Source organism: Homo sapiens, chromosome 6 (genome assembly GCF_000001405.40).
Source record: "Homo sapiens chromosome 6, GRCh38.p14 Primary Assembly".
Classification (NCBI taxonomy): Eukaryota; Metazoa; Chordata; class Mammalia; order Primates; family Hominidae; genus Homo; species Homo sapiens.
The window spans coordinates 129,456,684-129,471,487 of record NC_000006.12 but is presented as its reverse complement, the minus strand read 5'-3'; the positions used below and the strand labels follow the sequence as shown (position 1 = coordinate 129,471,487).

Here is a 14,804-nt window from a genome sequence, read left to right as displayed (position 1 = left end):
TCACAGGCAAGCCAGTGACTGGAGGTGGTTTTCCTCCTTATCCATGAATGAATATATGCATTTTTAGAAATCATTCTAAGAAAACATGATTAAAGAGCAGCAACACAATTGAATTGAAATTCACTGGCCCAAAAGGTAACTGGCAGAGAGACAGGATGGCATATTTTTACTGACTTAAAGGGAGTGCTTTACTCTATCCTTCATGAGTGATAGCGATGAAGTGGGTTCTACCAGGAAATGCTAGTAAATGCTAATGCTTGCTTTTATTTCTTACCCTATTTCTTTTCTTTACAAAATAGAAAAGTAGGCTATTGACACAAAATTTCACAGTTGATGAGTTCAGATGTGATTTATAAGTAGGTAGGGAAATAAGGATTTTATTAAATAATAGACACAGAGTAGGGACTTAAGAAATATTTTATAATCAATGCTGAGTTGTTATAAGCTAAGTGTTTTTACTTTGGCTATTATTCTTTTGTTCTCTTTCTTGATCCACTGAAAATCTAATTGAGTGTTCTCAACTTTGCATCCTACTTGATGCATTTAGGGGATAGGGCACACTTCTGTCAGGGACTGTGGTTCTGTAACTGACTCAAGAAAGATGGGGAACACTCCTGAAGGACTGTACTTGAATTTCAAGAGACAGTGCTCTTGCCAACTAGTTGAGAATAATTCATATAAAACAAATAATCTGGTCACTGAAAAGGAGCAATCATCCACATTGCTGGAGCCTTATTTCAATTCCTCTCCCACTACTCTGTCATCTCTGGTCTTGCTAAAGTCCTCAGGGACCTGCCTATACCCAAACTCAGTGGAGTTCTTTTAAACTTTATCTGAATTCATGTTTGTGCAATATTTAATGCTGTTAGCATTTCCTTCCCTATAGGAAATTTCTTCTGGCTTCCATAATGTCAAGCTCTCTGGCTTCTTTTACCTTTCATTCTCAATCTCCTACCCTGGGGTCTATTTTTGAACACTTCTAAAATGTTGATGTTTTATAATATCCCTTCCTTTGCCCACATCTCAGGTTTTAGCCATCTGGGCAAACTCAAGTTTATATCTACTTACAATGTATTGATGACTTAAATGTATGTATGCTTGGACCTGATTTTTGCCTAAAAGTCCACATTCAACAGGTGAGACACCATCATCTATATTTTCCTTGCGTACTTTAAGCTAAACATTCCAAATCAAAATAATTATCATCTAACTCCCAAATCTGTATTACTTAACTTACTTTTTTTTGTTGGTCTTATGACCCCCCCACCCAATCTACTAAACTAGAGAGTCATCCTGACTTTCTCCTCACCACATCTAATCAATCAACAGCTTCACTAATTTCTTCTCCTAAATACCTCTAATATCTGTCCTATTTTTAAAACAGTTTTACTGAGGAATAATTAACATGCTATAATTTAAACCATGTTTGTAACATGTAATTGTATACACCTGCAGAACCACCACCACACTCAATGAACACATCCATCACCCCAGAAGTTTCTTTATGCTCATTTGTAATCCCTCCTTTTTGCCTTTTCGTACATATACCATTCACAAGTAGCATCCGTCTGCTTTCTGTGACTATAGATTAGTTTACATTTTCTATGTAATTTTATACAAATGTATTTTTTTGTGTCTGCCTAAATTTGCCTTTTTTGTCTGCCTATTTGGATATTCATCCATTTTGTATCTATATTAATACTTTATTTTTTATTGCTGAGTATTTTATTGCTAGTATTCCATTGTATGAGTATACCACAATTTATGTATATCTATTTACCTGTCGATGGATATGTGATTTGTTTTCAGTTTTTGAGTAACACAGATAAAAGTAATGTGAGCATTTTGGTACAAGTCTTTCTATAAAAAATATGCTTTCTTGTGTCCTGGGTGAATAATTAGGAGTGAAATGATTGGTTTGTATGGTAGATGTATATTTAGTCTTTTAAGAAATGGCCAACCTCTTCCAATGTTATGCCACTTTATATCCTCAGCAGCAGTGTATGAGTTCCAGTGTCTCCACCTTCTGCCAGTACTGAGTATGGTCAGTCTTTTTAATTTTAGTCATTCTAATAGCTGTGTAATGGTATCACATGGTGGATTTATTCTGCATTTCTTTGATGTCAATTCCCACTGCATCTCTTACTTCAAGCATAATTTACCTCCTGCCTAGACTATTATTGAATCCAATTGTTCGCTTTGTCTTCAGTTTGGTCTTCTGACAATATGTCTTCCACACTGACACCTCGAGTAATATACTTAAATTGAAATTACCCTGTCACATCTCTACTTAAAATCAAGTTCATCAAGATGAAATGCAAACTCCTCAACACAGTTTAAACAGCTTCCTGTGATCTGGCCCTTGCCAACATGCCCAGCGTTATCTTCTATCACTCTTTTGAAATTTAAACTCCAATAATTCAAACTGATTACAACAGCTGCCCAAATAATTCATGTTTTTATACATGTTTATCTTTTCATATGATGCTTTTTGGCCTGGATCGCCTGCAACTGCTTCCACCCCTCCTACCCCCTCAACTAAAAAAGGACTTAGGGCTCAGTTAGTGCCTTATTTCTCTCCCTCCATATGTCTCCCTTGGTGTTTACTGTATCCTAAACAGATACAGTAATTTGCTACTTGTGCAGCAGGTAAGTTACTCAAGGGTAGGAACCGTATGCATCTTCACTGATGCAGCACAGCATCTGATGCATAGTTGGTATTTAATAAATGTGTCCTGTAAGAGCTAATCTTATCAAAGCAGGTAGTAAGGTTATTTTGCCAAGCCTTTCTTCTTTTCCTTTTAAATTTAGATTTTACTGCTTTAAGTGTGATCTTTGGATATTGCTACTGCAAGTCAATGACCATATGCTTGTCATCTATTGAGATTGCATTTTTCAACTTTATGTAAGAAGTTTGCATTTTTCTTTTGTGAATTATTTGTTTATAACATTTGCTTTTTCCATTGCAGCTTCGATGCTTTTCTTTTTATAAGGAAAAATTAATACATATTAACTGACCTGCTATAGTAATAAAATACTTTAAAAGTATTAGAGAAAATATATTGGATATATGAGAAGACATGTGGAAAAACAGAACAGCTATAGTTTTATTATAATAAAAAATTTCACCTGTTTAACTTGAGAAATTTGTGGTGAGACACCAGAGATAATAGAGAATGGGTAACAACCATGGGCAGAAGGTAGAAGTTCCCAGTCTAATTTAAGAATCAAAATTCTGAACAACTAAACCTCATAGGGCTTAATTTCTTTTTAACGGTGATACCATAGAGATACAATAGAGAAGTAAGGAGAATGATTCATGTCATTAATACCCAAAATAAAAGTGAGAATGACTGCTTGGTGCATTTGACAGGAGTATTCAGAAAGGCAAAAAGCAATGTGAGTCTAGAGTCAATTTGAAAGCCAAGGAGAAGACTTATAAATGAGAAGGTATCAGCCAACTGTGTCAAAGGGATTGAACTAGAAACCAGAAATGTCACAGAAGATACTGAGTAGGCTGGGATAAAGGAAAATTCTTTCTGATTTCTGGACCACAGAGTAGTAACAGTAACAGTTAGTAGCTCTAGTAAAATCTGGAAAAATTAGACCTATTGGGGGAAGAACTTTCTGAATTGATGGAATGCTGTAGTTACAGTAAACCTAAAACATATTTTTAACTACTTTCACATTTATATGATTCTGTAACTTGACCTTTGACTAATATTGATTCAGAGCACAGATCTTTTGTTTATTTGTTTTAATGGATAGAATAAAAGTTGAGATAGCAGACTGATTATGGAAATTAGCGTTTCCAAGATGACCATTTATAAAAATTGTTCTCCTAAGTTGTTGAATCATTTTATCCCTGTTTGTTATACCGTACATCTACCAAGCATATTACTATCTTTAGAGTTTATAGCATTAGCCAATTCAGCTTAGTGTTCCGAATGTCTTTATTTTTATTTTTATTATTTCACAATTTTAGATCCAGGTGGTGCATATGAAGGTTTGTTTCATGGATATATTGCATAAGAGTGAAGTTTGGGCTTCTAGTGGACCCATCACCCACACAGTGAACACTGTACCCAACAGGCGATTTTTAAATCTTCACCCCTTCTCCTCCCTCCCCCCTTTTGGAGTCCCCAGTGTCTATTGTTTCCATCTTCACGTCTTCGTGTATCCATTGTTTAGCTTCTCGCCTTGTAAGTGAGAACATATGGTATTGGATTTTCTGTTTCTGGGTTATGTCACTTAGGATAATGACCTCCAGGTCCATTCCTGTTGCTGCAAAAGACATGATTTCCTTCTTTTTTTATGGCTGCATAGTATTCTGTGGTGTATATATACCACATTTTCTTTTCTCAGTCATCTGTTGATGGACATTTAGGTTGTCTTTTTTTCTTTTATAATGCATATCCATCTTCTCCTTCTTTCTTCAAATCTGTTATTCTACTACTATAGAAGAGAAGTTGGTGGGGAGACACTAGGCTCACCAGACTCCGTAGCATCCTAAATTGTTACATATCTCCAAACTGCTGCTAAAGAAACTTTACTAAAGCACAAGTCTTATGATATCACACCCTTTCTTAAAACTCTTAGAGTTCTCGGTATCCCTATGGCTTTCAGGATAAAGCTGAAACTCACTCACTTAGCTCATATGTCCCCTTATGCACTGGTTCTGTTATCTCTTGGCCCCTACTGATAATTTCCTGCCAACATTCATTCGTGTAGGCTATGGATTCACTTGTAGTTACTAAAGCATTCCCCAAAGTGTGTTCAGCAGAATGCTAGTATTACAGGAATGGAAGGATTTCTCTGATTAAAGAAATTTGGGAAATGCTGGGTTAAACAGCTAAACATTCTTCTTACTGAACAACTAACTACACAGAGCTTCTGACATGCAAATGTGCATTGTGCCTCTCTTACACAGGAACAATGTATGCAGCAGCACTCCAAAATAAAGAATTGCAAAGCCAGTTTTTGTCCCATATGAGAGGTTTCTCTAGAGTTTCCTGTTGGAAATGCAGCTGGAAAAGGATGTGTTATTCTCTCTGATGACTCCAGGCTTTCACACAACTTTCACTACTCTGAAATGTCCATACATGCTTTTCATCCAGCTAACTCCTCATCCAGCTTGTGCCTCAGGGTCACTCCAGTGGAAACTGACCTCTCTGTTTGACTCAAGTGTCTCTCTTCTGAGATTGCTCGCTGGCTACATACATCTCTATCACAGCAATTAGCTCTCTATCCTCTAACCATTGATACTTGTCTATCTCCCCAGTTCGATGCAAGTTCCTTGAAGGCAAGAACTTAGAACTTCATTTAGTTCTTACATGGTACTTAGAAGGTGCCTGGCAGATATGTATTAAATGCAGAAATGAAAGACGGTACAAATTTAAATTTAAACGTAAATTTTCATGAAATGTCACACTGGCATTGGCAACATTAATTGAGTCTATTTATATTAGCAGAAGTAACAAAGTCTCATTTGCAGATATTGGTAATGCCATACTACACAGAATTAGAGCAATTATATACTTAAAAAGCAATAGCACTACACTCAGAATTAATAGACTTGGATTTCTGTCTTGGTTGTGAGATCTTTTATATATATGTCTGTGACCACATAAAAGTTTGAGTGTATATTTTACTTTCTCTAACACTGGAACAAAATACCTGCTTATGTGATCAGATAAAACAATGTTTGTGAAAGTGTTTTAAAATGTCCCCGAATCATAAACATGTCATGTTACTATTGATCAATTATTTACTTGCAGGCATACAAATGTTTGGCAATTTAAATGAGCAAAGAACTGATAACTATGCCCTACCACTCCTATAGATTCCACTGTGGGCCACTTTAAAGGAAACATCTTGACAAAATAGGGAGAAAAGAAAAGCACCCAACATTTTTCAAACATATTACAGGATATAATTTTGCAAGTTGTAAGACAGTTTTATGCTTTCAAATTAAGCTCTCAGTTTCAAAAGAAAATGATAGAGAAGCATTTGGCTCTTCAATCAGTCATGTCTAACCCAAATCACCTATAATCTAAGCCAAAAAAATGACTGTATAAATTTTTCACTGAACTCGTGAGTAGCTAAAATTATAGACGGAGCCTTCCTCTTGATCAGGTACATGTGCACTTTGGATTTCATGATTAAGGCCTATATTGCATTATTACTGTAAAAACTCACCTTGTTTTTGAATTCTTGACAGAGTGAATGATTTCCATTTCCCATCATTATGGTTTTGATTGCTGACAACGGAAGCCATTCCTGAGCCCAGATCGTAACTGACTTTTATGTGCCCATCAGTGAGCTCCACACTCATGAAATCTCTCTATTAATAGAGTAAACATACCCCAGTGGTTAGATACACAGAGAAGTATATGAGTGTTCACTTTTCTTGTGTGGTTTATGTTAGGGTCTTGTGGCTAAATTGCTGAATATGTCACTCTGTTGCAGAAATCCATTTTGAAAATAGAATTGGTGTTACTATTTTCTGAATTTTTGTGGCTGTGATATTATGATGCACATGGTCACAACAAAATTTCTAAGACATATCCTTTTATTACAGTCGTAAAATGTGAGTTCATTTGAAAACATATTAAGTGAACCAAAAGGTATGTTCCCAGAAAGAATTCAGTAAGAAATACTGACCAGAAAAAAATGAGGCCAAAGAATACTTATAATCACCTTTTCAACTCAGGTCTCTGAAAGAAGATTAAGGAAGCATTTTGCTGCTGTATGGCTCCATGCTGGGAAAAATTATTACCGGATGTATTGCTTAAAGGATTATGTGGGGAGTTGTATTGAAAATAAATAGTAATTAAATTGTATCTGTGATTAAAGTTATTATTGAAAATATATAAGCACTATCTGTATCACCCATTCTTGGCTGCCAGACAATCATCCCAGGCTTTTTAGAAAATAACTGATAATTTTACCAATAACTGATGATTTTACCAATAACTGATAAAAGAAGCAAACGCATTTTAGTCACGGAAACTCTGCTATGCATATGATCTTTACCAGGTCTCGTGTGGCAAGATACATCAGAAGAGCACTCGAAGAAAATGTTCTGAACTTGAACATGACAGTGGAGATGTTGGGGTACCAGCGAATGGGACGGCTGACCAATGCATAACCTTCTCCATCAAATTGAATAGTCCCCTCACTATCTTCCACCTGAGGACTGAGAAGAGAGACATTTCACATGAATCAGATCATATCTATTCAGTCTGTCATTATTCAATGCATCACTGAATAGCAATGAGACTATAGGCTGTTGTAGGGCAGGAAATACCCTAAATACATCTTCATTCCTTCCACTTATCTCCATCTCTACTGCCACCGTGCTAGAATAAGTAAAAACCACCTCTCACCTTTCATGAGGTGTGCAATAACTAAGTCATTAGTTTTTTTAAGTGCTTTATGTTTTGTAAAAGCACTTGGTAGTAGATAGTTATATTGATGCTTAAGGGTGTCTTAGTGGTATTTGGGCAAAGGGGCGGGGTTTCTGGATGGGCTGAGAATACATTATTACATTTCTTATATATAGGATCCTACTCTGAATATTTGCCTTCCAACAAATTTTTCTGGAACAAATTAGATTCAGACGATTAAGGAGGCCTGTATTTATTTTTATGGTTTCTTCTGTCTCCTTCACTAGAATGTAAATTTCATGAGACCATCTAAGAGATTATGGGCTAGGTCCTATGTCAGGCACAAACTCAAAACATCTAGTACATACAATACAGTACTTGGATCCTAGAATCCAGTTGATGTTTGTAGGATGACAAAGATTTTAGTATAGCAAATTGCCTCACAGAGAATATATGTTTAATCAATATTGGATGCATAATTAATGAATATCTAAGATAAGTCTTGTGAATACATTTAAAATATTTTTTCCAAACATGAGGCTATTTTTATGTATCTGTCTATCTACCTACCTATCTGTCTGATGTTACTGCGATTGTGGAGATACCTGCGGGAAAGAGTTGTGGACTGGGAGTGGCTAAACACAGAGCTGTAGATCCCCCCAGTTCATTTAATTCATTAGAAAACACTAGGAGAAACAAGGTAAGTCTGGCTTTGAATTGGTGACTATGGGATGAGAAATAATATGAGTCCTTCCAGGTACACTCTATAATATTTCGACATAGAATAGAATAGAGTTATCCTATTCATTCTGAATGCATTTACTAAAAAAGCCCCTATTCTTTCATAATTAATAAATGCTAGGCTTCTTAATTTGCCTTTTGTTTCTCTTTTGAACCTTGATGTCTGGTAAAGTTAGTATAGATTAATTATGCTATTTTGGAGCAGCTACGTTCTAGGTGAATATTGGGGCTAAGTCTATTAAAATATCACCATTTCAATGCTCAGCTAACTAAATTTTACTTGCAGCAGATTTTTCCCCTTACTTTAATCTTAATGTGAATTTTAGAAGCATGAGAAAAATAAGATACACTTTTAAAAATATCTTTGACAGATTACTCTTTCTAAAGCATAACAACAATTTTATCTCTTCTACTGACTATTGAATAAATGCAAATTTCTAAAACTGACATTCTAAGGTCTTTATGACATTTTCTTAGTCTACCTCTTTTAGCCTCACTTTTACATCTTCTCCATGAAATCACTCCTGCTCTTTAGTAGGAATGATTGCTCTTTATGTTCAAATGTGATAAGTGTTTTCCTGAAAGCAACAAATAAACAAACAAACAAACAAACAAACACCAGGAGTTCTATAAAAATTATTCTTACAAATAACAGGGCTTATGGGAAAATAGGGTTGGGGCTGACCTGCTAAAAACTTACACAAGTGTGTAATTAGAGAACTCACAAAACAATAACAATCCTGATCAAAGTATTAGCACAGCTCAAAAAGATACACTAAAACATTAAAAAATATAGGATTATTTCAGTATACATATCACTTCACCTTAAAAGGAAAATGTGAATATAGTTTGATGACAAGGGGTATAAGAAAGGGCTGACACTGCCAAGTGTTAGCGATGGGGCAAAAATGCACAATGACGGAAAAGACGTGGGCCACGAACATTTCCGAGATAGAGTGCTTGGCTAAATCAAGCTGAAGGCAGGCATATGGGTGAATGCACACTGTGTACAGGCTGTGTTGTGGCACAGTACTTTGAGGTTGGTGTCTTCAGCTATGTTGGTTTACTTTGGATTCAGCTACCGTTATAGGGTAGAAAAAAAAACATGATTATGCTGGGAAGAAGTGTGTATGAACCTATGTGGCCACTGCATCTTACCCGAATCATTCTCCCATTTGCCAATCTTGTATGAGTGAATTCACACTTGTTCTTTTCTAAAAACACTCCGGCTTCCCACTCTTCCTCCCTTTGCTCTTACTGGTTTCAGGAATTAGAATGTTCTTCACATTTCTTCTGCTATCTCCTCTTTTTGGACTCTTACCTCAGGTCAAGACCATTTCAAATGTCACCTCCTCTGTGAAGCAGATCATGATGCCCTTAATCTGATGTGGGTAATTGTAGTATACTCCAAATGTGCCTTTTTAAAGGGACTTTTATTATGCCTGATATTTGAACTATTTTAGTATTTGTTTTTTCCTCCCTTCCTGGTGATGTCTTTTCATGGCTAGGACTAGGCTGTATTCATTCTAGCATCAGGAGAAGTTGTAAACGTGAATCTCTGCAACCTACAAAACACCCTACGTATACATAGGAATACTCTTATAATCATAAATTAGCATAATACTTTATGTGTTGAAGTGCAAAATCTTTGCAGAATTGATAATTAGTGATGTTACAGTTTCACATGACATGCACTGCTGAATGGATATTTAAATGCCTTAGATGTTTTGTTGTTGATAATAGGCTTTTGAAAATCCTACTTAGAAGTTTACCAAAGAAACGCTTAGGGAAAAGTTGGTGTTGGTTTGTGAGTAGCAGAATATTAATGTGGGCTTCACTGTCTTTCATGTATTGAAAGAATTTTACAGACAACCTTCCATGTTAAATTTTGTTTAAGATTATTGACAAAACCATTTTAAACAATGAATGGGTCACGCTTTCAAACTATCCTCAATTTCATGTTGACAAGTCCATGATGTCAAAAAGAAACAAAGAGTTGGAAGTTAAGACTTTTAGAGGGATAACATTTTGGGGCTACTTTCTTCTATGAAACTCTAGAGATGTAGAGAAAGAAATGTGAAGTGTACTTTGCTAGGATTTGGGTCCTAGAAACGTATGTATATCCTTTAAATGGAAAATAACACAAACTCCTTAGCACTTAATGGTTTTTGAGTTGCTGTTATGACATGTTAACTTTGCAGGTATTTAAAGTATGTTTTATAGTTTTAATTTAACAAAATTGCTTTAGGCTTGGGTGATAAGTGGGCTCTAAGATTTTTATGCTGAGAAATCCTCTACTTATAGCTAAATATTTTATATCCTGTATTCATTTTTATATAAAAGTGTTTATTCTCTACACATGCTTAGTATGATAGGATGTTAAATATTTTCAAATTCCTATTCATTCTACCCTCTATCTTATAATTGAGGTCATGTATTAGGAACTTTCCTCCTGGACTATCTCGGCCCCTTGTTCTCCTTCTCTCTTGAAGCAGAATCATTAAATCCCATAGGTTTCCAGTTGAAGCACTTGTAGGATCCTATGTGTCAATTAAAAAAAAATCCTGTAAGAGATAAAACCTAGGCTGGGGTTCTAATTTTGTTATAAACATAAATATAGTGAATTCATGCTCAGCAAGACCTGAAACTTAATCAGTTTGGGGAAAGCTCTCTTTAGGAAAAAAAAATTATAACAATGAGGTACTCACAGACACAAAAAAACCCCTCGACATGAAAGAACATTGGAGTGGAAACTTAACTGATTGTAGCCAAAATCTCTTACCTTTGCAAATTTTATAAAAACATATGACTATGCAAATGTACTGCTAGTATACCTCCCAGGGCCTTGAAAAATGCCTGTGCAAATGCAGGCAGGGACTTGAAGATTCATTAGTTTTGTGGTAATTCCACCTCTGAGTATAATCCTTTCAAACCTGCTCCACATCATCCACATGATAATAGAATATTATGCAATAAAATCGAAGCTTTTATTATGCACAGGACAGACCCTGGGAGAGTTCTCATCTCAACTAACCTGACAGTGCATCCTTTGCAGTCACCTTCTTTTTCTCGGAAATTCCACAAACCTATAGGTTTGTTGTCAAAGTATGTTTCTCCCATGCAGCCAGTGAATGTAATCACACGTACAGCATCAGCCTTCTGCAGAAAGAAATACCGTTATTTGCTAGAATTTGGAATTTCACAAATAATCTTGGTTTATCCATGAGAGTTATTATCAGCAGAAACTAAAGTTATCATTATCCATTCTTTCTGATATTTTGGCATATGTACATATTCATCTTTTCATCATAGTCTGTCCGTATCCTTAGAGCTACTACAGGATGAGTCAACAACAGGGGAAAAGCTCAACTATTTAATCCACGAATGCTGATTACTTTTTGCTATACCAGTTTTCATCATCAGTAAATAAACACTTCCTAGCTTCTAACTTTAGGTGAGCTGCTGACCTTCTCCACAATTCTATTCTTTTGTCTGTAATGTGGAATTTTTGTGAGAATAAAGTTAGATAATTTATTTATGACACCAATCTCAGTGCCTGATATACAGAAGGTGTTCAATAAATGCTAGTGCTCCTACATAATTTTCTTTGGGCAAATTTGGGCCATGCATACACAAAGCTTTTTCCCCTGAGATCAGAAGAAAGGGGACATGCTGATGACATAGAAGAGATTTTTTAAAAGCACTTGTATAAATCACTCTATGGTAGTGCTGCTGTAAATTTTTAAATTTCTGTTCACAGCCAAGAAGATTTCGAGTTCAAGGGAATAAAGAAAAAGTAAGCAACTTTGTAGGAAATGAGACCACATTGGTGTCGTTTGCTTGTATACACAGCACAGGGCCTGGAGTCAAATAGAGAATCGACAAATAATCTGATCAAATTCAATCCTGGTGTCATTTTCACAGGAAAAGTCTTAGGCTTGATACACAATCATGAAGAAAGAGAATGACCTGGTCCCTCCTAGAGAAGTTTGTTGTAAATTGAAACAACTGTTTTGGCATTGACACATTACAAATGTTTTGGTAAATGACAGATCACATATATGATGGTGCTTCCATAAAATTATAATACTGTATTTTTACTGTACCTTGTTTATGTTTAGGTACACAAATACTTACCATTGAGTTACAACTGCCTACAGCATTCAGTGGAGGAACATGCTGTACAGGCTCTAGCCTTGGAGCAGTAGGCTATACCATAAAGCCTAGGTGTGTAGTAGGCTGTACCATCTAGATTTGTGCAAGTACTGTACACTTTATGATGTTTGCACATTGAGGAAATTGCCTAATTCCAACTTTCTCAGAATGTATTCTTGTCATTGAGTGACACATGACTGTATTATATTCTGGTGCCTACAACTTTAAAAACTCTGTGCCAAAGTGAACCCATATTTACTCAGATTATCTGGGAAAAACATGCATTGACTCATTTGGTTTTTAGAACACACATAAGAAAACAGTTACTGAATAGTTAAAATTTTAAATAGTAAAATCAGTTACTGAATAGTTAAAAGCATAGACTGTACAGTACTTGCACAAATCTAGATGGTATAGCCTACTACACACCTAGGCTCTATGGTATAGCCTACTGCTATGGTTTTAGGTTAAACCCATCAACATGTACATTTCCCACTGCTGTGACCATGTATTGCACAGCCGCATAGAAAGATTGTTGATCGGAGCCCCTGACTTGCACATTGGAGTCGTCCTTGCAATGCTCTGTCATCACTCTGAACCTCTTAATTTTCTAGAGATTGATTATCCTACTTGTGAATTCTGCTTGCTTTTTGCTTCTTCTTGCATCCTGAAAAGCTATATTTGAGAGATTTTCCTGCTCATTTGAATTCTCATGAGCAAGTTCATTTAGTTGTTTTCAGCTTTTGGTTCATATTCTGGTGTGGCAGTAGTCTTGAAATTCTTGGCCAAAATGATTTCCTAAGGTTTGCTATAGATTTCATTTGTTCATGTTTTCTTTCTTTTTCTGAGACTGATAGAATACTGTTTTTGTGCCAATTACATTTGCATAATAATTATTAAGGTACAATTTAAGGTGTGACTACCACATCTCAGCTATTTGCCATATATTTTATACACACACTCTATGGTAGTGTGTGTCTCACTATTCATTGTGGCAGTGAAGCAAGATGTTGAGAGTGAAGACCACTGTGCCTATTAACCTATGTTCAAATCCCAGCTCTGCTAATTACTGTGTGACCATGGTCAAGACATTTAACATCTCTCTTCTTCAGATTCCTTAACTACAGAATGAGAATATTAGTATCTGCCTTGCTATAGTGTGAATGTCTGTGTCCCTCTCAAAATTCTTATGTTAAAATCCTACCCGCCAAAGTGATGGTATTAGCAGGCAGGGCATTTGAGAGGTGAGTTTTAGATGGTGAGGGGCAGGGCCTTCATGAATGAAATTAGTGCCCTTATAAAATAGGTCCAAAGGAGCTTGTTCACTCTTTCTACTATGTGAGAACAGCAAGAAGCCTCCTTCTATGAAAAACTGGCTCTCACTAAACACCAAATCTGCCAGTACCTTGATCTCAGACTTCTTAGCTTCAAGAATTGTGAGAAATAAATGTTTGTTTATTTATAAACTACCCAGTTTCATGGTATTTTTCTTATAGCAGCCCTAATGGACTAAGACATACTTTTTGGGGTTGTTGTAAAAATTAAACAAGTTAATTCATGTAAATTACTGAGAACATTACTTAGCATATAGGAAGAGTTATAAGAATATTAAAAAATGTATTATTGTATCCTACAATATGCAAGCAAGGTAGATATTTTTATCATTCTTTTCTAGTTGAGATAACCAAAGCCCAAGGGGTTAAGTGACTTGTCTAAGGTTATATTTTAGCAAGTGGAAGAGGAGGAAATCCAACCTGGATTTGATTTCAAAATTCATGGCTTTTGTACTACTGTGTGCTATCCCTATATTTATCTATCTGTGAAGGAGAGAAAGTTGATAATATGACTATATATTACTATGTACCATATACATTTATATGAAGTTCTAAGAAACGAGGATAACTTCAGCGTGTGGTTTTGGAATAAATTCTCATACTTTAGAGTCACATCTCGTACTCAAAGTAAATAAAATAACCTCATTCTATATGAAGGTTGAGTCCTCATAAATTTGGGGTCACCCTGGCTTTTCACATTTTCTGACTAATCTCAACTCAGGATGATTCTGACAAGCCCAGGATTATCCATTATATTTGGTTGTGCTCCTGCATCTCACCCATAGTGGTTTCCCAACACCTAATTCCATTTAATCAACACAAGCTTCTTTAAAAGGCAGGCATTCTGCAATTTGAAATGCGCAAGGACTGTCATGAAGCAATTATGAATATTAAGTGCATCATCCTATAAGAATAAGAGCAACTTGAGAACTTTAAAAACCAGATCATGTTTTGAAAGCTTATAGCTCCTGTGATATTTCCCAAAGTATTCATAAATCTTTTAATTAGATGTGAGTATGAACTTTATAGCACTTCATATCTATAAATCATAAATCGATTCAGAAGATGAGGTATACTTAAAAAACACTTTGCTCTTGAGGCAACTAAAACAAGAATATACAAAAAACTGATGCCACAGATAAAGACAAAACAACAGCTGTTTAAATAAATACACATAGGCTTAAAA

General features: G+C 35.6%; 1 protein-coding gene across 2 annotated transcripts in view; it reads right to left on the bottom strand.

Moving 5' to 3' along the window:
• Positions 1–14,804, bottom strand: part of LAMA2 (laminin subunit alpha 2) — a 633,429-nt gene that overhangs the window by 45,079 nt on the left and 573,546 nt on the right. For both annotated transcript variants that reach the window (NM_000426.4, NM_001079823.2), the window contains exons 49-51: positions 11,164–11,288; positions 7,036–7,198; positions 6,199–6,343 (exon numbers count right to left, since the gene is read on the bottom strand). In NM_000426.4, coding sequence (NP_000417.3) covers positions 6,199–6,343; positions 7,036–7,198; positions 11,164–11,288 — 433 coding nt within the window. The remainder of the gene's footprint in view (positions 1–6,198; positions 6,344–7,035; positions 7,199–11,163; positions 11,289–14,804) is intronic.